This window comes from Homo sapiens, chromosome 2, assembly GCF_000001405.40.
Source record: "Homo sapiens chromosome 2, GRCh38.p14 Primary Assembly".
Lineage (NCBI taxonomy): Eukaryota > Metazoa > Chordata > Mammalia > Primates > Hominidae > Homo > Homo sapiens.
Genome location: NC_000002.12, coordinates 68,494,447 through 68,520,657, shown reverse-complemented (window position 1 = coordinate 68,520,657; position 26,211 = coordinate 68,494,447). Strand labels below are relative to the sequence as shown.

Sequence of the window (26,211 nt, the reverse complement as noted above, 5' to 3'; positions counted from 1 at the left end):
GAATAGAGAACCCAGAAATAAAGCCAAATACTTACAGCCAACTGAGCTTTGACACAGCAAACAGAAATATAAAGTAGGGAAAGGACACCCTATTCAACAAATGGTGCTGGGATAATTTGCAAGCCACATGTAAAAGAATGAAACTGGATCCTCATCTCTCACCTTATACAAAAATCAACTCAGTATGGATTAAAGACTTAAATCTAAGACCTGAAACCATAAAAATTCTAGAAGATAACATCAGAAAAACCCTTCTAGAAATTGGCTTAGGAAAAGACTTCATGACCAAGAACCCAAAAGCAAATGCAATAAAAACAAAGATAAATAGATGGGACTTAATTAAACTAAAAAGCTTCTGCACGCAAAAGAAATAATCAGCAGAGTAAACAGACAACTCACAGAGTGGGAGAAAATCTTCGCAAACTATGCATCTGACAAAGGACTAATATCCAGAATCTACAAGAAAAAACAAATCAGCAAGAAAAAAGCAAATAATCCCATCAAAAAGTGGGCTAAGGACATGAATAAACAATTCTCACAAGAAGATATACAAATGGACAACAAACATATGAAAAAATGATCAACATCACTGATTATTAGGGAAATGTAAATCAAAACCACAGTGCATTATCACCTTACTCTTGCAAGAATGGCCATAATTTAAAAATCAAAAACATAATAGATGTTGGTGTGGATGTGGTGAAAAGGGAACACTTTTACACTGCTGGTGGGAATGTAAAATAGAACAACCACTACAGAAAACCGTGTGGAGATTCCTTAAACAACTAAAAGTAGATCTACCATTTGATCTAGCAACCCACTACTGGCTGACTACCCAGAAGAAAAGAAGTCATTACATGAAAAAGACACCTACACATACATGTTTATAGCAGCACAATTCGCAATTGCAAAAACATGGAACCAGCCCAAATGCCCATCAGTCAATGAGTAGATAAAGAAACTAATATATATATATATACATATATTTATATATATTACTTCATGTGTAATTTTTTTTTGTCAATAACATCTCTGTATGTGTTGATCCTCAATTTGCAGGAAGGAAATGGGGAATCGTAGTGGGGAGGGGCAGACACTTTCCCTCAGTAGAATAATTTCTCTGATAAAAGAAAGACTTAACTTGACCAAAAATTGAACCAATGTGAACTGGTCCCTGCAAATAACTCCTTTTCTTTCAGAATTGTTTTGTACTGCAACTGCTTCTTTGCTACTGCTTATAATAGTTCAACATGTATTTCATTTCAAATACATTTTCTTTCACTTGGTAGATGTACCACTTAAAATATGAATCATGTTTTTGGGCACTTCACTTTGAAAATACAAATGAGAGTAATTTGACATTTTATATATACAATATACATATAATATATTATATTATATATAAATGATATATAATATATAATATATTATGTAATAAATATAGATAATATATATTTATATATTATAAATATATAGTCACATTGGTCCAATTTTTGGTCAAGTCTTTATATATATATAAAATGTCAAATTATATGTTTTATATATTATATATTATATTATTATATATTAATTATATATTATATTATTATTATATATTAATTATATATTATATTATTATATATTAATCATATATTATATATTATTATATATTAATAATATATTATCAGATATTGTATATTAATAGCATATTATTATGTATTATTAATAATATTATATAATATATTAATATTAATGATATATTATTATTTTATTATATATTAATGATATAATATTAATATTTTATTACATATTAATGACATAATATTAGTATTTTATTACATATTAATGATATATTACTAATATTTTATTATATGATAGATTATTAATATTTTATTATATAATGATATATTATTAATATTTTATTATATATTAATGATATATTCATGATATATTAATGATATATTATTGTATATTCATGATATATTAATGATATATATTCATGATATATTGATTTATTATATATTCATGATATATTAATGATATATTATTATATATTCATGATATATTAATGATATATTATATATTCATGATATATTATTGATATATTATATATTCATGATACATTATTGATATATTATTATATATTAATATATAATATAATAATATATTAACATTATTATATATTATTAATGTTATTATGTATTATTAATATGTTATATAATATATAATATATTATTATATATTATATAATAAATTATTATATAATATATAATATATTGTTATATATTAATAATATAATACAGTCATATATTAATATATTGCTATATTAATATATAATTATTTATTAATATATTATATATTATTAAATAATATATAATATATTAATATATTAATATTATATACTGATATATTATCTATTCATAATATATTAACATTATATATTAATGATCTATTATATATTAACGATATATTATTATATATTAGTAATATATATTGATAATATATTATATTACTATTATACATTAATAATATATTATTATATATTAATATATATTAATATTGTATATGATATATTATATATTAATATATATTAATATTATATACTAATGATATATTATATATTAATGATATATTACTGTTATATATTATTATATATTAGTGATATATTACTGTTATATATTAACACATATTAGTGATATATTACTGTTATATATTAACACATATTAGTGATATATTACGGTTATATATTAACACATATTAGTGATATAATACTGCTATATATTAACACATATTAGTGATATATTACTGCTATATATTAACACATATTAGTGATATATTACTGCTATATATTAACACATATTAGTGATATATTACTGTTATATATTAACATTATATTAGTGATATATTACTGTTATATATTAACAGTAGATATTAGTGATATATTAGTTATATATTAACATATATTAGTGATATATTATTGTTACATGTTAATAACATATTAGTGATATATTATTGTTACGTTAATAACATATATTAGTGATATATTGTTACATGTTAATAACATTAGTGATATACTGTTACATGTTAATTACATATATTAGTGATATATTGTTATATGTTATTAACATATATTGACATATGTTAATAACATATATTGATATATTAATATATAGTGATAACATATTGATATATTAATATATAGTAATAACATTGATATATTAATATATAGTAATAACATATATAGATATATTAATATATAGTAATATATAGATATATTAATATATAGTAATAACATATATTACTATATGAATATATTATATAGTAATGATATATTAATATATTATATAGTAATGACATATATTAATATATTATATAGTAATGACATATATTAATATATTATATAGTAATGACATATATTAATATATTATATAGTAATGACATATATTAATATATTTATATATATCAATAACATATATTAATATATTATGTATCAATAACATTATTATATATTGATATATTATATATCAATAACATATATTAATATGTTATAGATCAATAACGTATTATTATATATTAGTATATTATATATTAATAACATATTATATATTAACATGTTATATATTAATAACATGTTATTATATATTATATATTAATATATTATTATATATTATATATTAACATATATTATTATATATAATTATATTATATTATATTATTATATATTATATTATATATATTATATTATATATTATATATAATGTTATATAGGATATATAATATATTATTATATTATATATAACATTATATATAATTATATATATTATATATATAAAACGTGATGCCTCCAGATTTGTTCTCTCTATATATATACAAATACACCATGGAATACTACTCAGCCATAAAAAGGAATGAAATAATGGCACTCGCAGCAACCTGGATGTAATTGGAGAGCATTATTCTAAGTAAAGTAACTCAGGAATGAAAAACCAAACATTGTATTTTCTCATTTATAAGTGGGAGCTAAGGTATAAGGATGCAAAGGCATGAGAATGATGCCACAGACTTTGAGGGCTTGGGAGGAAGGGTCGGGGAGTGAGGGATAAAAGATTACAAACTGGGTACAGTGTACACTGCTCGGGTAATGGGTGCACCAAAATCTCAGAAATCATCACTAAATAACTTATCCATGTAACCAAACACCACCTGTTTCACAAAAACCTGTTGAAATAAAAAATATATATATAATAGTGATGATAATAATAATAATAAACTGTATTGGCTGAAAAATGAAAAAGCCTGACAACAGCAAAAATTCCCCTACATATAAAGGATTAAAGAGTTAAACTGAGAGATGATCCAGGAGAGATCGCAAGGGCAGATCAAAAAAGGCAAACAAAAACCAAACATATAAAGAGTAAATTTAGGCAGCTATACAGTGATATGCCTTAGTACATGGGCTTTAAAGTTAGTCAGAGCTAGGTCTCAGTTACAGCTCTGGCATTTATTATATGATCTTGGATAAGTCAAATAACATGAATTCATGTTATTTGTCCTGTTCCTAAGGATTCCAAAGGTTCCAAAATATCAAGTTAGTTTCAGATAATCTACATAAAGACCAATAACCACAGTTATGGTCCTAAAGCTGCAAAAGACATATGAAAGTTACTCATGTCTGAATAAACCAAAATGCATCCTGCGAATTAATTTTTAAAAATCTCTCATATTGGCCTATTGATCCCCATCATTTATTACTTAAACAAACAAAACAATTTTTTAAAAAATAACAGCACCACAGAATAAGTCTAATTGTTTTAACTTTTAATTAGCAGGATTCAGGTACTAAACTGTTCTAAAGTACTAAACTGTCTTTAAAGGAATTAAGTAACCTAATCTTGTTCTTATAAAGTACTTCTCCCACGGTCTTAGTTTATAAAAAGATTACCTGAATCCAAAGACTCTTCTATCTTATTTTGAAGCTTTAGCATTTTAAGTACATTGTACACATGCGATATTCCAGACCAATGTCAAATTACTCTCATTCGTATTTTCAAAGAGAAGTGCCCAAAAACGTGCTTCATATTTTATGTGGGACATCTACCAAGGGAAAGAAAACGTATTTGAAATGAAATACATGTTGAACTATTATTATAAGCAGTAGCACAGAAGCAGTTGCAGTACAAAACAATTCTGAAAGAAAAGGAGTTGTTTGCAGGGACCAGCTCACATTGGTCCAATTTTTGGTCAAGTTAAGTCTTTCTTTTATCAGAGAAATTATTCTACTGAGGGAAAGTGTCTGCCCCTCCCCACTACAATTCCCCATTTCCTTCCTACAAATTGAGGATCAACACATACACAGATGTTATTGCCTATATATATATATATATATTACACATGAAGTAACTGTGGGGGTGGGAAGAACTGAAAACAACTGTAGTAGAATAACTTACTGCAAAAGTCTTAGGCTTAGATTGGAAAATTCTCCAGATTAAACCACATGCCCCTTAACACATAAAGTATAGTGCACTTTTCCCATGAGAACACTTTGATCCTAGTATAATCCAAACTACCATTAAATAAGATATATTCTGTACATAATATATGTGATCCAAAACTTTAGAAGACTTCTATGACCACTGTGCAGAATACACAAAGCACTGAGTAGTAATTTTCTAACTAAAATGTGTATTCATTTGTGCTGTTAATTTTTAAAAAACAATGTTCAAGGTAAAATGGAAAAACAGCATAACTAAAGTAATTACTGCCAATAAAATCATTGTAAATTCAGGAAAAAAATATTTTTCAAACTATCTGTAGGCACTGGAGATTGACCAAAGAGGCAGAGTTGGAGAAGTGTCAAGGTTGAAAATTAACTATAATCTATAAAGTTTGTGAACTTGTGACTTTTTTCCTGAAGGCCTTCTCCAAGTCACACGTGGCAGAAAGCTGCAACCTTACTGGTTTAAATGGTCAGAGCAGAGAGTTTGAGGCTAGGAGAACAGGCAGAGGTGAGTGATAAAATCCTGGAGGGAAGGCAGCCACAGAAGGGGCAAGAGCAAAAACCTACATAAAAACTTGACCCAAATTCTTGGCTGACTCCTAAACTACATTTGTATGGGGCCCAAGGACCCAGAGAAAAACGCAGCAGCTGGAAAGTGAAGGAACTACCTAGACACTGCAGCTGCCATACATAACAGGGGAAACAGGGTAGGCTCTGAATCCAGCCAAATTAATTGCTATCAGAACAAAAATACTTCTTCAGAGGAACATAACAAAATCAAGAGCCTCTACAATGTATCATCCATAATATCCAGTATCAATAGAAAATCACTAGGCACAGAATACACAGGAAAATGTGACCCCATAAAAGAAAACAAGCAGTCAATAAAAACTAAGTCTGAAATGGCAAAGTTGTACGTAGATGCAGACTTTAACGCAGCTATTATAAATATGATCAAAGACTTATAGAAAAATACACCAAATGATTGAATAAATGGGGAATCTCATCGGAGAAACATAAACTTACACAAAAGAACCAAAGAGGAATTCCAGAACTGAAAAGTACAATAACTAAAATGAATAATTCACTAGATAGACTTAACAGCAAATTAGAGATGGCAGAAAAAAGAATCAGTAAACTTGAAAGTATATCAATTCGTCTGGCATTTTTAAAAATCAAATTAAACCCTCTTATTGTGCTGGCCTTTTATCCTAGACATAGCACCAAGAGGTTTGTTTGGAAGTCTTTATTAATATAATTCTAGCACATAATAGCACTTGTTAAATGAAAAAAAATTAGGGTGGTATTTGATAAATGGCATAAAGTAATAGCCTATGTTTTAGACTTCATGTTCACAACTAAAAAAACTAGGCTAGGCTATACACTTACACAACCTCTACTCTATCTCTATAGAACTAGTTTATAGTTTTTCTTCAGAAAAGCTTTCAAATTCTGTTTAATGTTTCCTTTAAAGTCAGCATTAGTAGAAACAAAAACCTACCTCCACTGATTGCTGGTACTGAAAGGTTTTGATCACTTAAATGTTCTGCTAACATCCAAGTTGGAAGGATTCTTTTCCTCTCGGCAAGGATTGGCTGCTGCTTATTGCAGTCTCTATTTTCACCTAGGAAAGACTAAAAAGACACCTATAAATTACTAAAAATAATCACACATCTTGAATGAATTTGCAAAATATCTGCTTTGCAGAATACTACCATTAAAATACCCATATGCAACTGTAGACTGAGTTCATAAAATTTCTTGAACAAAGAAATTATTTCTATTAGTTTAACTGTTGGATTACTGCCATATTCTCTAGAGCTTAACTTAAAATCAGCAAAAGTAGATAAATGCTGGCAATATTGTCATAATAGGCCTAATTTCAGTTGTCTTTTCTGCCTTCATAATAACTTGAAGAACATGTTATAAATGGATGAGATATCAAATTTCTCACCACACTATTTGTGGGAGTCATCTGGGTCTTGGCTATTTCTGTGCTTCCTTCCAGTTGTGAGGCACCAGTAGTCTCATGAGGTAAATTAATCACGGGGGATTTTGGTGTTTCATTCAATATATTATCTTCATCAAGCACTTGACTGTTTCTATAAGATAAAATAGAAACTGGTCTTTAATTTTAAATTTAACACACTTCTGCTGCCTTAGAACTACATCTAAGTTATGTCCCTTTACTCAGACTTAGCAAAACCAAAAAAAGCAGATTATAGTATACTAGAATATATAGACTAGAATATGTTCTTTATTTCCTACCTGCTGTATTGCCATAAAATACATCAATCTTTCCAAATCATGGGCCTAGAAACCACAATTATTTTTGAGATGTGTGGCAGCCATTTCTGTCAAGGCTTAAGAGCTCTTTATTTAATATTTGTCCAGATGGTCCACAGAAATTAAGATCACCACCCAGCCTCTAGAGAGATAATGTAAACTGCAAGGGCATCAGCTAAGCTAGTTAGACGTTTGGAGAAAAAATAAATAAAATCCTGAGTTTAAGTTGACACATAACTGCTACTGAAGTTCAGGGAAGTATTAAAGAGCTACTTATGAAATATCCCCAAACTTGTAGTATAGCTGCAAGCTAAATGTTCTGGAACAGGAACATCCATGGTCACATGTGGGACATGCCAGCAGAACCAATTACCTCATACTTCTGCAATATGCAGTAAGGTCATCCAAAGTTGTTGGGTTATTAATACTTATGTATGCATAGACATGATCCAACGAATTTGTCTTTTCGAAAATTTGAAACTATAGATGAAACACTACTCAGAAATAACAAGGAATGAACTACTGATGTGTGCAAGAATATAGATGAATCCCAAAGGCATTTTGCTAAGTGAAAGAAGCCAGACACAAAAGGTATATTGTATTACTCCATTTATATGACATCCTGAAAGGTAAAGTTACAGGGACAGAAATCATATTAATGGTTGCCAGGGATTGGGGGTGGAGTGAAGGGACAGACTACAAAGAGCCAGGAGAGAACATTTGGGGAAATGGAAATGTTCTATATCTCACTCTAGTAGTATTTTAAATGACTATATTATCATTTTTAGTGCATTGAATTGCACATTTAAAAGGGATGAACTCTACTGTGTGTAAATTGTCCTCATTAAATGTGAATTTTTAAAAACTAAAGATATAAGATTTTAGAAGTGTGTCTAGCTGAGAAAAGTCTAATTAACCGCTTGTTTTATTTGTTCGTTTTAGTATTTCTTATACAGGGAATAATCTCCTTCAAAGGCAGCCTTCAATGTCAATGGCAAGAATCAGCCAAAAGAGAAAATTTACTTAGAGTAAATTACTATGCAGCATCACATTTTTTGTTCATTCAATCAATATTTTTAAAACTTCTACTGTGTGTCAAACACTGTGCCAGGTGCTGGAGACATATCTTGGAAATGTCTGATTGTCCTAGCTATGAAAGTTCACTCCACTACAATACCCAGTCCTGTTTTACTCACAGGTTACAGGTGTACTTCCAAATTATAATTTTTTTCAAGTTTTCTTAATATTTAACATGAAAAATATTAAGAAACATTCAATAGTAGTTTGATGATTTTTCACAATTTATAGTATTAGGAATTAAGTAACATCATCAATTCCATTTCTAGTTTATTTTCTATTGTGGCATAAGTCTGAGATGAATTCATATACACTCTATAGTCCATATGTAATTTTTATTAATAGTTACCCACAATAAACGTAACAAAAAAAATTTCAGAACAAAATTCTATTTAACATTTTATTCAAAAAGTACAAGTACAAATTATTCTACTACACATTTATTTAAATATAAAACACTGTCACTGTGATATATATTTTTATTTTATCTTCAAATACATCTATGAGTAATCAACTATCACAGGATTTATAAAGCATCACTACAGAATATTTTAAATAAAAAATTAAAACTTGGAAAGTTAAATGTAGTCTAGTAAAGGTAATTGAGTTATCCTTTTTTATAACTGCTTTATTGAAAAATAATCCATATAGTCATAAGATTCATCCTGTTAAAGTGTACTATCCAGTGGTTATTAGTATGTTAACAGAGTTGTGCAACTATCACCAATATCTAATTTTAGAACATATTCAACACCTCAAAAAGAAATTCCATATGCATTAGCAATCTCTTCCTATTGCCTCTTCCTCCTGCTCCTCGCAACCATTAATCTACCTTCTGTCTCCAAAGATCACATTTTCTACATATTTCATATAAATGAAATACAGTATGTGGTCTTTCGTGTCTAGCTTTTTTACTTAGCATAATGTTTCAAGATTCACCTGTGTTGTAGCATATGTAAATATTTCATTCCTCTTTATGGCCAAATAATATTCTACTGTATGACTATACAATACTTGTTTATCTATTCAACAGTTGCTGGACAGCTGAGTTATTTCCACTTTTTGGCTATTATGAATAATGCTGCTGTGAACATCTATGTACAAGTTTTGATGTGGACATAGGTTTTCAATTCTTTTGGGTATATACATAGGAGTGGAAATGCTGAGCCACACAGTAATTCCATGTTTAAACTTTTGAGGAACTGCCAGAATATGTTCCAAAGAGGCTATACCATTTTATAATCCCACCACAATGTATAATAGTTCAGTTTCTTCACAACCTCACCAACACTTGTTATTATATTTTTGATTATAGCTTTCCTAGTAGATGTAAAGTGGTATCTCATTGCGGTGTTAATTTGCATTTCCCTGTGACTAGTGATGTTGAACATTTTTTCATGTTCTACTGACCACCTGTACACCTTCTTTGGAAAAATGTCTATTCAAATCAGTTATGCATTTTAAAATTGGGTTGTTTGCCTTTGCATTGTTGAGGATTCTTTAGATATTCTGAATATAAGTCTGTTATATGTGATTTACAAATATTTTCTCATTCTGTGGTTGTCTTTTCACTTTCTTTTTTTGTATATTATTATTTTTTTATTATACTTTAAGTTCTAGGGTACATGTGCGCAACATGCAGGTTTGTTACATATGTATACATGTGCCATGTTGGTGTGCTGCACCCATTAACTCGTCATTTACATTAGGTGTATCTCCTAATGCTATCCCTCCCCCCTCCCCCCACTCCACAACAGGCCCTGGTGTGTGATGTTCCCCTTCCTGTGTCCAAGTGTTCTCATTGTTCAATTCCCACCTATGAGTGAGAACATGCAGTGTTTGGTTTTTTGTCCTTGCGATAGTTTGCTGAGAATGATGGTTTCCAGCTTCATCCATGTCCCTACAAAGGACATGAACTCATCCTTTTTTATGGCTGCATAGTATTCCATGGTGTATACATGTCACATTTTCTTAACCCAGTCTATCATTGATGGACATTTGGGTTGGTTCCAAGTCTTTGCTATTGTGAATAGTGCTGCAATAAACATACGTGTGCATGTGTGTTTATAGCAGCATGAGTTATATTCCTTTGAGTATATACCCAGTAATGGGATGGCTGGGTCAAATGGTATTTCTAGTTCTAGATCCCTGAGGAATCGCCACATTGTCTTCCACAGTGGTTGAACTAGTTTACAGTCCCACCAACAGTGTAAAAGTGTTCCTATTTCTCCACACCCTCTCCAGCACCTGTTGTTTCCTGACTTTTTAATGATCACCATTCTAACTGGTGTGAGATGGTATCTCATTGTGGTTTTGACTTGCATTTCTCTGATGGCCAGTGATGATGAGCATTTTTTCATGTGTCTGTTGGCTGCATAAATGTCTTGTTTTGAGAAGTGTCTGTTCATATCTTTCACCCACTTTTTGATGGGGTTGTTTTTTTCTTATAAATTTGATTGAGTTCTTTGTAGATTCTGGATATTAGCCCTTTGTCAGATGAGCAGATTGCAAAAATTTTCTCCCATTCTGTAGGTTGCCTGTTCACTCTGATGGTAGTTTCTTTTGCTGTGCAGAAGCTCTTTAGTTTAATGAGATCCCATTTGTCAATTTTGGCTTTTGTTACCATTGCTTTTGGTGTTTTAGACATTAAGTCCTTGCTTATGCCTATGTCCTGAATGGTATTGCCTAGGTTTTCTTCTAGGGTTTTTATGGTTTTAGGTCTAACATTTAAGTCTTTAATCCATCTCGAATTAATTTTTGTATAAGGTGTAAGGAAGGGATCCAGTTTCAGCTTTCTACATATGGCTAGCCAGTTTTCCCAGCACCATTTATTAAATAGGGAATCCTTTCCCCATTTCTTGTTTTTGTCAGGTTTGTCAAAGATCAGATGGTTGTAGATGTGTGGTGTTATTTCTGAGGGCTCTGTTCTGTTCCATTGGTCTATACCTCTGTTTTGGTACCAGTACCATGCTGTTTTGGTTACTGTAGGCTTGTAGTATAGTTTGAAGTCAGGTAGAGTGATGCCTCCAGCTTTGTTCTTTTGGCTTAGGATTGTCTTGGCAATGTGGGCTCTTTTTTGTTTCCATATGAACTTTAAAGTAGTTTTTTCCAATTCTGTGAAGAAAGTCATTGGTAGCTTGATGGGGATGGCACTAAATCTTTTCACTTTCTTAACTGTGTCCTTAGAAGCACAGAACTTTTAAGTGTAATGAAGTCCCATTTATCTACTTTTCCTTTGTTTGCTTGTGTTTCTGGTGTTATAAACATTGCCTAATGCAAGGTCACAAAGATTTACACCTGTTTTTTTCTAAGAGTTTTGTAGTTTTAGTGCTTATATTTAGACTTCTGATCCATTGTAAGTTAATTTTTATATGGTGTGCAGCAGGAGACTAACTTCATTCTTTTGCATGTGGATATTCAATTGTCCCAGCATCATTTGTTGAAAAGACCATTCTTTCCCCCATTTAATTGTCTTGACACCTTTGTCAAAAACCAACTGACCCTAAATGTAGGGGTTTACTTCTGGACCCTCAATTCTATTTCCTTGATCTATATGTCTTTCTTTACACCAGGACTGTCCTGATTACTGTAGCTTCATAGTAGGTTTTGAAATCCAGAAGTGTGAACCCTCCAACTCTTTTCTTTTTTTCTAAGATTGTTTTGGCAATTAAGTTATTCTTAAGTCTTTCAAATATATTCCAAATTTTGTTTATGTTATGTATTTTCATATCTTTAATATAAAATATGCTACTATTATGAATGAGCTGGATCTAAAACTACATTTTAAATAATTATAAATGAATTTGAAACTTGCATATTATCATACTATCATGACATTTTCATCACCATTTTATTGTTTCTTCAATATCAATGATTAAAATTAGTAGTTATTTATATGGAATCTACATACTTAGATTTTCAACAATTTGAAAAAAAAGTAATTCAGTATAACAAAGGATTTACTTTACTTTCCTCATAAGTGTCTGAAAATAAATAATCTCCCTAGAGTGAAAATGTCATACTTCCTCATCAGCAATGAAATTCAGCTATGAAAACAAAATGTTATACTTATCACATTATCACTCAGTTTAATATCCTCAGATATTTCATTAATGCATTCAAAAAACCAACACTTATTAAGCACCCACTATTGGGGAGGAAGAATTAATATTAGTGCTTCTAAGTGAAATGTGCTATAATTTAATTTACTAAAATATAAAACCAAGTATTCTTCTCCTTATTTGGTTTTCTCTTTGACTTCTCAAAAAAGCATGAGTTTTGGTACTCCTGGCAGAATAATTTCATAGACACATATGTAGAGAAAAGAGTGAAAAATGAACAAACTAGAACTGACATCTATAGACTTAAATGTTCCTTCAAAGTAGGTAATGAGTAGGACTAATTATACAGAATCTAAATACTATATAAAAAACATTTTAATGTGAGTAAAAGGAAAACCTAAAGAAATGACAAGCTCTTCTATGGTTGGTTTGTGGTTCAGATCCCTTTCTTAAATTCAAACTGGCTGGAAGAAAAGAATTATGGCAAAGGAGTCCTAACAACTTCTACAAAGCATATAAGCTTTTTTCTATTCTTTTTTAATGTCTTAAATATTTCAACATGCAAAAATATATAGAGAATATATGTAGTCTATCTACATATCTATGAATATAAATACTTGTGTATCTACCACCCCGATAGAAACATTTTCTCATATTTGCTCCAGATTAATTACAAATACAATTCAAGCCCTCTCCATGCCCAGCCTCAATCTTGCTCCTTCCCTCCCATTCCTTCTCCAAAAGTAAACATTAGCCTGAATTTGATATTTATTATTCCTATGCATGTCTTTATACTTTCATTATTTGTATATATGCATCCATTATTTTATAGAAATTATGTATGTTTTATATGTTTATAACCTTTTTGGGTTTTTTCCCTCAACATTATGGTAGGGAGATTTATCCATGTTTTAACCTGAGCTCTCTCTTAGTTCATTCTCTTTCATATAGTTATAGGACTACACCAAATTTATTTAGCCTTTCTGCAGGTGTTTTCACAATTCAAATGAGTGCTATAGTAAACATTCTCATACAGCAGAGGGTAGTTAGTAAGAGCATCAACTCTGGAAACAGCTGGCTTGAGTTTGGATCCCACCTCTGCCATGTATTAAGCTGTGACCTTGGGCAAGTCTTAAACCTTCTGTGTCCCAATTTCTTCATCTGTCATATAGGGATATTAACAATACCTAGTCCTCATAGAGATTATTATGGAGAATAAAAAGTTCATACATGTAAAGCTTGTACAACAGTAAGCAGTGTTTTTATGTGGTTGACCCTGCAAAACAGAGCTAGTTCAAAAACAGGAAAACCCCAACGATATCAAGAAACGTCTAGAAGTGTATTTCAATGCTTCCTATCTAATACATAGTCCACTTCCCCTTGCTAGCAGACAGTGGACTCTCCCTCTCTGGAAATCAGGCAGCTGCCTCCCCCGGGTAGACATCTCTCATGATGATACTGCAATTCAAGATCTGCCCCCACCTCCCCTCATGGCTTCTAATCTAATAACTAGGGTTAACTCATCATTACCTGACTACAGAAGTACTGTCCTTGCTTCAATAGGAAACTAAATATTCACTAAGAAGCTACAGGACCTAGCTAATGGCAGAAACCACAAGAATGTGCCTGTGATGGTATGATATAGTAAGAAATACATATTTTGGTCTTCACTTCTGGTTCCTGGCTAGAGCTCTGAAACAGGTGAAAGGAGCGTCTTTTGTTATTCACAATATACCCCTTTCAACCACACCTGAATGTATGTTAATGAGGTGACTTTTGGAAAGCCTCTAAAGATGAAGGGCTGGTTGTTAGGAAAACCAATCATGATTAGAGGGTAGGAACTCCCAGCCTCACCACCAGGGAGGGAAAAGGGGCTGGAGATTGACTTAATCATACTGGTCAATGATTTACTCAATCATGCCTTTGTAATGAAGCCTCCATAAAAACCCAAAAAGACAAAGTTCAGAGGACTTCCAGGTTGGTGAACAAGAACATGTCCATGTGCTGGGAGAGTGGTGTACCCCAACACTCCACTGGAACAGAAGCTCCTGTGCTGGGGATCCTTCCAGACCTCACCCTATGTATCTTCTCATCTGGCTGTTAATTTGTATCCTGTAATATAGCACTTGTAATAAATCCGTAATCTAGTAAGTAAACTGTTCCTGAGTTCTGTGAGCCCTTCTAGCAAATGACAGAACCCAAGGTTTAAATAGCCTGAGAAAAGTACAGTGCTGTGAAAGTGGGTTTATTTTCAGTTTCATCAATACGAAAAAATTCAAAATTCACTAATCCCATAACCTGATAAATTTAAAGTGTGACACTTGCCCTAAAGACACTGGTCTTTCACACTAAGGGAATAAGCTAATTTGAATCAATATAAATGAAATTTAAATAGACATATAATAGCTTAAATAAGTTATCAGGTAATGACCATATTGTGTTTCATAAGGATGCACATTTTCCTAATTTTTGAAAAAAGTATGTAATTCTATTATGAAAGTTTATTGTAACAAAAAAATCAGTTCTTTACATGTCTCATTTCAACAGCTAGTTTAAATAGCACGCTTCATACATGTATGATAAGAGAAAAAGACATGTACTTTAAAGTAGTAAGCAATGATTAATGAATTTCATTTAACTAAAAAGCAACTTCCTGACATTTTTTTCCACTTACATTTAAGCATTTTTAGATATAATTTATATATGAAATGCACATATCTGAAGTGTGAAATTTGATTAGTTTTGACAAATGCGTACACCCACATAATCTGCACCCTTAACAAGACACAGAATATGTCCATATTTGTTTAAAAGCTGAAACAAAGCCAAACAAAAAGCTCCTTTGTAGCTTCTTACTAGTCAATCCCCTTGGAAACAACCATTGATTACATTTCTATTTAACAGATTAGTTTACTTATTACAGAACTTAATATAAATGTAATCATATAATAGACACTTTTGTGGCTTGCTTTTCTTTTTGGTAGATTACTAAGGATTTTCTAAATACAAATCATGTCATCTGCAAATAAACACAGTTTTACTTCTTCCTTTCAAATCTGATATATTTTATCTTTGTTGTATTCCCAATCTTAGGGGAAGAACTTTCAACATTTCACTAATAGGTTTTTTGTAGGAAAAAAGTTTCCTTCTTTTTCTTGTTTTCTCAAAACTTTTAAAAATCATGAAGAGGTGTTGAATTTTGTCAAAATTATTTTTGAGCATCTATTAAAATGATAGTTCTTTAGTCTGTTATGGTGAATTGCTTCGATTTTTATACGATAAACTAACCTTGTATCCCTTGGACAAGCCCCACTTGGTAATAGAGTATTATCCTTTTTACATATTGCTGGATTTGATTTGTAAATACTTTATTATGAGGAATATTGGTCTGTAGTTTTGAGGGTTTTTTGTAAAATCTTGTCTGATTTTAGTTTCTAAATTACAGAAGCTTCATAAAATGAGTTGGGAAGTATATCTTCTTTTATTTTTTGAGAAAAAAGAATAATATTGGCATTATTTCTTCCTTGTAAGTTTAATAGAATTCATTAGTGAAGATCCTTATGGGAAATACTTAAATTATGAATTCAATTTTTAAAATGAATATAGAATTCATCAGATTTCTATTTTTCCTGCATCAGTTTTGTTTTTTAAGAAATGTACCCATTCATTTTAACTGCCAAATTTATTGGCATAAAGTTTTACGTAATATTTCCTCATTATTCTTCTAAGGTCTGTAGTAGCAGTAATGATATCCCCTCTTCTACTGTTGATACTGATAATTTGTGTTTTCTCACTTTTTTCTCAGTAAGCCTTACTACAGTTTCACCAATTTTATTAATCTTTTCACCAAACCAGCCCATAGCTTTACTGATTTTATTTTGGCCATTTTCTATTTCACTGACTTCTAGTTCTTACTTTCTTTTTTTCTATTTTCTTTGGGATTAATTTGCTTTTTGTCTATCCTCCTAAAGTAGAAGCACAGATCACTGGTTTTACAGATTTCTTCTCTTCTAATACAGGCATTCGACTATAAACTTCCCCCTAAGGGCTAATTTAGCTGCATCTCACAAATTTTTATGCTGTTTTCAGTATCACTCTGTTCAAAATGTTTTCCAATTTCCCTATGACTTCTCTTTGACCCAAGGGTAATTTAGAAATGTGTTATTTAATTTCAAAGTATTTGTATATTTGTGTAGCTATTTTATTGTTAATGATTTCTGACTTAATACTATTGCTATCAGAGAACATACTCCGCATAATTCTGTCCATCTACTTCTATAAGTCTAGTTTATCCATTCTATAATTTAAAAGCTGAAATGAAGCCAAATAATCTTCTGACTAAAAAAACTAGTGTATGAATTTTAACTGTAAGCCAGACATCAGTATATTTATTCTAATACCTCATTTCCTCAGTTTCTCTGTTCTATATTTTCTGCTATTTTTATAAGAAAGAGGAGTTAGACAAGTGTAAGTCAGAAGTTAATACCTTAATAAAATTCAAAAAGCTAAAAAAATGAGGAAAAGGTAGTCAATTTCGAATTAACTATATTGAATACTGTTAGATGGAAAATACATTCTCAATACAATGGTAAAAGACACCACCTGTGGGAGCAACTGCTATCAACGCATAGTAAGTTTCCAAAGTCAAATGTTTTCTAGAAACAGATACACACATGCATGTGCACAAAACACACACACATGCAAAGGCATGCACACACACATGCGTACACACACATTACACACCTACTCTATCTCCAGTTTAATGGTTTCTACTGGTTCCTACCGAAGGATTTGTGATGGCTGAGGAATTAGATTAAAAATAACATTCTTACTCTCATTTCATCAGGCACTTACCTTAAGGTACATTGCATTTCCACTTCAGAGGGTATAGAGAGAATGCGGAAAATGTATTTGTCAACTAACAAAGAAAAGCTGTCTCCAGGATTCAAATAGCACCATAGATTTGGCTTCAATGGTAAGAGCTGACTCTTCTCTGAAGACTGGTAAAAACATGGATTTGTGTGTATCTAACAAATTAAAAAAGAATATAATTAAATTTAAAAAAGAATATAATACAATAATGTTGTAACTCAAAATTACAACAAAAATACAATTAAATATGAATTCATAATTTTGGTATCAAAAAAATTTAAGCATAAACTTAGACTTAAAAGTTTAATAAATCTAACTCTTATAAGTACCATAATTATTATTTATATATTAAAGAGAAAAGAAGCTATGGTATACCTCCCATTTCTCCAGGACTCAAAGGAAAAAAGCAAAGTTATCAACTAACTGGTTAAAAGAGTCTTCTATTTTGCTTAATAGAGACAACTAGACATCACAAGAAGAAATATGAAAAATAATTCTTAGTATGGAGAAACTGAGTCCCCCAACTTCCATATCCGAAATGCACTAATTTCCTGACAATGGCTAGTTTCTTTACCATTTATTTTCTCCTACTAATTTCTTATTACAATTAAAAAATAAGAAACTACAATGCTATGGTTTGAATGTGTCCCCCAAAGTCCATGTGTTGGAAACTCCAACCCTAAGGCAACAGTGTTGACAAGTAGGACCTTTAACATGTAGGTCATAAGGGAAATGTCCTCATGAATGGATTAATGACATTATCACAAGAGTGGATTCATTATCTCGGGAGCAACTTTGTTATCTCGCGAGTGGGTCTGTAATAAATGCAAATTTGGCCCTCTCTTGCTCACTCTCTCATGCATGCTCTCTCTCCATGTAATGCCTTCCACCACGTTATGATGCAGCAAAAAAGCTCTCACCAGATGCGGCCCCAGCATTTTAGACTTCCCAGCTTCCAGAATGGTGAGCCAAATAAATGTCTGTTCATTATAAATTACCTAGCCTCAGGTATTCTGTTATTGCAGCACAAAATGAACTAAGACATATAGGAAGGAAGATTCTAATCAAATCTCTCAAGCAAACAACACAGCTTTCTTTCTACCTCCTGAAAGAGGAATTGTCTTATTTGTTTAAATGAAACTCCCACTATGAAGACCATCCACATTCAAATCAAAGTAGTAAACAGATCTCAAAGTTAGAACTATTACAATATCCACTATTTTATATTATGTTTGCCACTATTTCCATGTTAGCAAAGATAACAAGAGTTGCTTCAAAAAACAAAAAGGACCTATTATGAGGTGCCTTAAAAATTCTAACTAGATTCAAGCTAAAATTGGCTCTTTCCATAAGTCAAATAGGCATTTTGTCATAATATCACTGGGTTTTTAAAACAAATAAGCTTTAGGATATGACAAAGCAATCTACATAATGCAGATCTTTGGTGTTTTTTTTTTTTAAGTACAATCTTATAGAGAGCACCGATCTCTATTACCCTTCCTTCTATCTATTTCATCAGTTTAAATGAGACTTCCTCTGGAGACATCACAGCAAAGTAATTACCACCCTGGGAATGGACATATGCTGAGCAATAACAACCACAAAAAAGACACATCTTTGAAGACAGAATGAATATAATCCACCTAGTTCTGACCATTCAATTTCATAAGAATCTGGCCATACATCATATTTCTATCCTTTAAATCTGTTACAAGAAAGCGGTAAAATAAAACTTGGAGATAAAGAGCAGAGGTAGAAATTTAAAACAGAGATGACACAAATTTGGTCGGCCATTATTTTATTAGTCAAACTATACACAAGATTGCATAAGAATGGAGATGCAGTGTGATTTATGCAATATTGTATTCCTAAAAAGAGTAGTGAATGTTTGATTTTTAAATTCAAGTTACAATTTAAACAATGTTTAGAAATCTTTCACCATGCTAACAGCCACTCCTAATTTCTCTCTCTCAAAGCTGTCCTCTGGCTCTTGGCAGGTTGAGCTTTTGAGTGCAACAAGCACATGACAAATTGACAGGCTCTGAGCTTGTGTCCGCTGCTGAACTTGGGAATCGTGCCCTGTATTCCTCATCCTTTTGGGCGAAGGCTCCCTTTCCTTGAGTATGTCATGGTCATCAGAGTCAGGAATGTTGAACTAACAGGAGAAGCAAGAGTCAGAACAGGAATCCACATAGCTTTGGTCTGAACTCTGAATATTCTTTAAGTGACGCTTGCTTCTGATTATAGGCTAAGACCATGTTCTTCTCATTCATGAGCATTTTAAAACTTCAGATGAGTCTCTAAACAACGTTAAATACTGACATGGTCCCAAACTTACAAAGGCTAGGATGTTAAATACAAAGGCATAACATTGTTTAAGACTGGAAAAGGTAACATACTTAAGGAAACTACATTTCTTTACAAAAGCATCACAAACCCAGAGATCACGCAATATTCTGTTTGAGTATGTTTTCCTCAGCGGAAAGCACTTAATATTTAAATTATACTTGGTTAAATATTGGCAGTCAGCAAATCCAGCCACAAAGAAAGTGAACCCATGAGTATGGTCCATGATCATCTTTTCCTTTTCCTAAAACTGTTAATACAGGAGATTCCAAAATGAAGAGTAAAAATGATACTCAAGTCTAATGTTTGATCCTCTAACGTAAACCTAAATTCATATTACTCACTGAATAAGTTAAAAAATCAATGTCAAACTACATATACTCCAACTAAAATGCTATACGTACATGAAGTCCAAAAAGTAGCTTTTAAAAAGTTACAAAGTATACAAAAACCTAACAATATTAATAAACAAAAAGGAAGATTACACACCAAAAAATTAGGAATGAAAACAATGGCATAATTACACAAAAAATAAAAGTTTTGAAAAATAACAGAATACTGTAAATACTTTATAGGAATACATTTGTAAATATGGCCAAAAGAGACAATTACCTAATAACACCAAATAGATTTTTTTAAAGTATGTTTACGTGTATGTATGTGCAGCCTGTTTGAAAGTATTTATTTATTTTTTCTTTTTTTGAGACAGAGTCTTGCTCTGTTACCCAGGCTGGAGTGCAGTGGCATGATCTCTACTCACTACAACCTCTGCCTCCAGGTTCAAGCAATTCTCATGCCACAGCCCCCTGAGTAGCTGGGACTACAGGCGCCCGCCACCACAACTGGCTAATTTTTGTGTTTTTAGTAGCAATGGGGTTTCACCACATTGGCCAGGCTGGTCTCAAACTCCTGGCCTCAAGTGATCCACCTGCCCTGGCCTCCCAAAGTGCTGGGATTACAAGTGTGAGCCACTGCACCTGGCTTGAGAGTATTTAATTATTAGAGAAAGGAGATTGAATTGGACCTGTAATATTTCAGAAGTACAATCAATAATTAAAAATCTTTTCAATCCCTCCCAAAACAAGACCCCAGTGGATTTAAAGATTTTTCTGAATATTCAAACTTTTCTTGATATCACAAAAGGGTTAAGGACTCCCAACTGCTTCAATGAGACAAGTTTAACTTTGATTCTAAAAGCAAACAAGAGCAGGCAAAATATTGGCAAACCCAACCTCACCATGATTAAAAGATATAACTACCTACATGAGAGACATTGTTGGTGTATGCCTTTTAACAAATTCATGAGATTATAAATTAAAACTTCAACAGATCATGCTATAACTTTAGAAGTGGTGCAAAGGATGCATTATCCCTGCAAAAAATGAAACTAAAATACAAATCAATTTCCTATAGCTTTCTCTTAGAGTTATCATTAAATACTAAAGAATGATAGATGTATACCCCCAAAAAGCACCTTATTTTCAGTGTTTTGTTTGTTTGTTTAATTTGGAAAGCTTTTTTTTTTAACAAAATAAGTTGAGGAAAGGCTATTATTATAGGATTTTCCAGATATTTCACAAGTACAATTTTAATTTCATGAGAAGAAAAACAATCTCAATTCGGGAACTTTGTGCAATAAAAAAACACAACCACCCAAAGACGTATATTTTGAGGGTCAATAATAAAAGGCAAAAAAGAAAAACTGCAACTTATAGAGCTACTGCCTCAATCATCCACGACCCCAAGTGAGTAAGATTTTATTAAAATGAAATAAAAGCACTGACAGCTATGAATTCGCCCTGAGGGCATAACCAATCACTGGTGATACAGTCATTTACAAAGAACATCATCATCAGTTTGCCTTTGTAATGTCTTTTCTCCCTGCTGATACTAGGCTGTAGATTAAATTTAGATGAAATATAAAAAAGCTAACATCATCTCCTCATGAGCTAGCATCATCTCCTCATGCACTATTTCCTAGAACTGCTGGAGAGCTACAGCATTTTTTGTAGGAGAAATATTAGAGGGAAAAAAGGCAGAAAGTCATCCAATTTAAAAGTACAAATTAGTAATTGCCCTAATTGCATTCAACTCTCCTTGTCAAAGCTATTTTTTTATTTGGTGGTAAGTTTGGATTTCCAAGTTAAAGAAAAGCAGAAAACCATTTAATCACTTAAATATAATTTGGGGCATGCAGTATACAGAAGGGATCATCATAACAAAACATTTGCCATATTCATTTATGTAATTTTACAAAGATTTTTAACTAAAATTTCCCTCTTGACATTTTATTACACTTGTATAGATAACTTGCTTTAGTAGATCAAAGAATTTGTGACTGATCAGGGAACAGAGAATAAGTGATATTTAACAAACATTAAGATAAAATGAATGAACTAGAAGTCACTTGTCCATCTCATTCTGATTTTCAAGATCTTTAAACTTCCATTAACAATTAAAATCAGTGTTAGAAATTCTCTAAATGTCTTTAAATTGCACCTTGTAGACAGTGCAGCTACAATAAGCTGCTGAATAAATACATCAATCTATTTCAAGATAATGGGCATTTTATTAAACTATATTAATATAAACATGGTTATTAGCTAGTCTGGTTTCTAATGTGCAACTCAAGTCTTCAGTCCATTTTTCTACTGGATTTTTTATTTTTTTCTCATTGATTAAAGGCATCTGTCATATGTTTTGGATAGCACTCCTGATATAGCTTGGATATTTGTCACTGCCCAAATCTCATGGTGAATTGCAATCCACAATGCTGGAAGTGGGGCCTGGCAGGAGGTGCTTGGATTATAGGGGCAGATGCTTCATGGCTTGGTGCCGTCTTAAAGATAATGAGTTCTCATGAGATCTGGTCATTTAACTAATACAGAGTGGGCACCTCCCACACTGTATTAGTCTGTTTTCACCTAAGACTGGGTAATTTATTTAAAAAAAAAAAAAGGTTTAATTGACCCACAGTTCTGTAGCCTGTACAGACAGCATGGCTGGGGAGGCCTCAGGAAACTTTCAATCATGGTGGAAGGCAAAGGGGAAGCAGGCAAATCCTATATTGCTGGAGCAGGAGAAAGAGAGAGAAGGGGGAGGTGCTACAAACTTTTAAACAACCAGATGTCGTGAGAACTCACTATCATGAGAACAGCAAGGGGGAAATCCAATACCACCATGATCCAATCACCTCCCACCAGGCCACTCCTCCAACACTGGAGATTACAGTTCGACATGAGATTTGGGCAGGGACACAAATCCAAACCATATCACCCTCCCATTCTCTCTCGCTTGCTCCTGCTTTCAACATGTGATGTACTGGTTTCCCTTTTGCCTTTTTCCATGATTGTAAGCTTCCTGAGGCCTCCCCAGAAACCAAGCAGATGCAGGCACCATGCTTCATGTAAAGCCTGCAAAACTGTGAGCCAATTAAACCTCTTTTTATAAATTACCCAGTCTCAGGTATTTCTTTATAGCAACACAAGAATGGCCTAATACAGAAAATTGGTACTGGAATTGGGACATTGCTATGAAGATATGTAAAAGTGTGGAAGTGACTTCAGAACTCCCTAACAGGCAGCAGTTAGAAAAGTTTGGAAGGCTGAGAAGAAGACAGGAAGATGAGAGAAAGTTTGGAATTTCTTAGAGATTGGTTAAATGACCAAACGATCAGCAAATTTGTGACCAAAATGCTGATAGTGATATGGACAATGACGTCCAGGCTAAGGAGGTCTCAGATGGAAATGAGGAACTTATCGGGAACTAGAGCAAAGGTCAAGTATGTTACGTCTTAGCAGAGAGCTTGGCTGCATTTGGTTCACACCCTAGGGATCTATGGAAGTCTGACCTAAAGAATGATGATTTAGGGAATCTGGTAGAGGAAACCTCTAAGCAGCAAAGTGTTCAAGAAGTGGCCTGGCTGCTTCTAACAACCTGCACTCAAACACATAAGCAAAGAAATGACTTAAAGTTGCAACACATATTCAAATAGGAAGCAGAGTGCAAAAGCTTGATAAATTTGTAGCCTAGCCACGTGGCAGAGAAATAAAAAGCTTTTTCAGGAGAAGGATTCAAGCAGGCTGTGAAGCAACCACTTGCTAGAGAGATATGTGCACAACTAAAAAAAAAGTCAGGCTGGGCACGGTGGCTCACACCTGTAATCCCAGTACTTTGGGAGGCTGAGGCTGGTGAATCACCTGAGGTCAGGAGCTTGAGACCAGGCTGGCTAACATGGCAAAACCCCATCTCCACTAAAAATACAAAAAAAATTAGCCGGGCGTGGTGACACGCGCCTGTAGTCCCAGCTACTTGGGAGGCTGAGGCAGGAGAACTGCTTGAACCCAGGAGGTGGAGGTTGCAGTGAGCTGAAATCACACCACTACACTCCAGCTTGGGTGACACAGCAAGACTCCATCTCAAAAAACAAAAAACAAACAAACAAAAAAACAAGTTCTAATATCCAAGACAATGGAGAAAAGGCCTCAAATGCATTTCAGAGACCTTCATGGCAGCCCCTCTTATCACAGGCCCAGAGGCCTAAGAGAGAAGAATGATCTCATGGGTTAGTCCCAGGGCCCTGCTGCCCTGCATGGCCTTGGGACAGTGCTATCCATATTCCCACTGCTCTGGCTCCAGCCATGGCTCAAAGGACCCCACATACAGCTTGAGCTGCCATTTTGGAGGATGCAAGCCATAAGCCTTGACAGCTCTCACACGGTGTTAAGCCTGTGGGTACACAGAGTGCAAGAGTGGTGGATTCTTGGCAGCCTCCACCTAGATTTCAGAGGATGCATGGAAAAGCCTGGGTATCCAGGCAGAAGCCTGCTGCAGCGGCAAATCCCTTACAAGAGAACTTCTACTAGGGCAGTGCAGAGAATAAATGTGGGATGGGAGGTCCCACACAGAGTCCCCACTTGGGACACTGCCTAGTAGAGCTGTGAGAAGAGGGCCACCATCCTCTAGACCCAAACATAGTATATCTACCAACTCCAGCCTGTGAGAGCAGCCTCAGAGAATGTACCCTCCAAAGCCAGAGGGGTGGAGCTGCCAAAGGTCTTGGGAGCCCACCCTTGGCATCAGTGTGCCCAGGATATGGACACAGAGTCAAAGATTACTTTGGAGCTTTGAGACTTACTGACTGCCCTAATGGGTTTTGAACTTGTGTTGGGCCTACAGACCCTTTGTTTTGAAACAGGGATGTCTACCCAATGCCTATACCCCCATTGTTTCTTAGAAGTAAATAACTTTTGATTTTACAGGCTCATAAATAGAAGAGACTTGCCTTGTCTCAGGTGAGACTTTGGACTTCTCAGGTAATGCTGGAATGAGTTAAGACTTTGGAGAATTATTGGGAAGGCATGATTGTATCTTGCAATGTGAAAAGGACATGAGATTTGGGACAGGTCAGGGGAAGAATTACACAGTTTGGGTATTTGTCCCCACCTGAAACTCATGTTGAATTGTAATCCACAAATGCTGGAGGTGGGGCCTGGTGGGAAGTATTTTAATCATGGGGGTGGGGATACCTCATGGCTTGGTGCTATCTTCCAAATAGTGCATGAGTTCTCGTGAGACTTAGTAATTTAAAAGTGTGTGGCTTAGCAAAGACATGGAGTCAACCTAAATGCCCATCAATGATAGACTGGAAAAAGAAAATGGGGTATATATATACCATGGAATACTCTGCAGCCATGAAAAGGAACAAGAACATGTCCTTTGAAGGGACATGGATGGAGTTGGAAGCCATTATCCTCAGCAAACTAATGCAGGAACAGAAAACCAAACACTGCATGTTCTCACTTATAAGTGGGAGGTGAATGATGAGAACACATGGACACAGGGTGGGAAACAACACACAATGGGGCCTACTAAAGAGTGGAGGGTGGGAGGAGGGAGAACATCAGGAAGAATAGCTAATGGATGCTGGGCTTAATAGCTGGATAATGGAATAATCTGTGCAGTAAACCACCATGGCACACATTCACCTAGGTAATAAACCTGCACACCCTGTACGTGTATCCCTGAGCTTAAAAGTCGAAGAAAAAAAAAAGTGTGTGGCACCTTCCCCTCACTCCCTCTCCCTTGCTCCTG

At 33.1% G+C, this 26,211-nt stretch overlaps 1 protein-coding gene across 1 annotated transcript in view; it reads right to left on the bottom strand.

Annotated features, from left to right (window-relative positions):
- Positions 1–26,211, bottom strand: part of APLF (aprataxin and PNKP like factor) — a 112,578-nt gene that overhangs the window by 59,505 nt on the left and 26,862 nt on the right. Inside the window, exons 3-5 of the mRNA NM_173545.3 lie at positions 17,755–17,927; positions 7,431–7,578; positions 6,978–7,110 (exon numbers count right to left, since the gene is read on the bottom strand). Of these exons, the coding sequence (NP_775816.1) occupies positions 6,978–7,110; positions 7,431–7,578; positions 17,755–17,927 (454 nt within the window). The remainder of the gene's footprint in view (positions 1–6,977; positions 7,111–7,430; positions 7,579–17,754; positions 17,928–26,211) is intronic.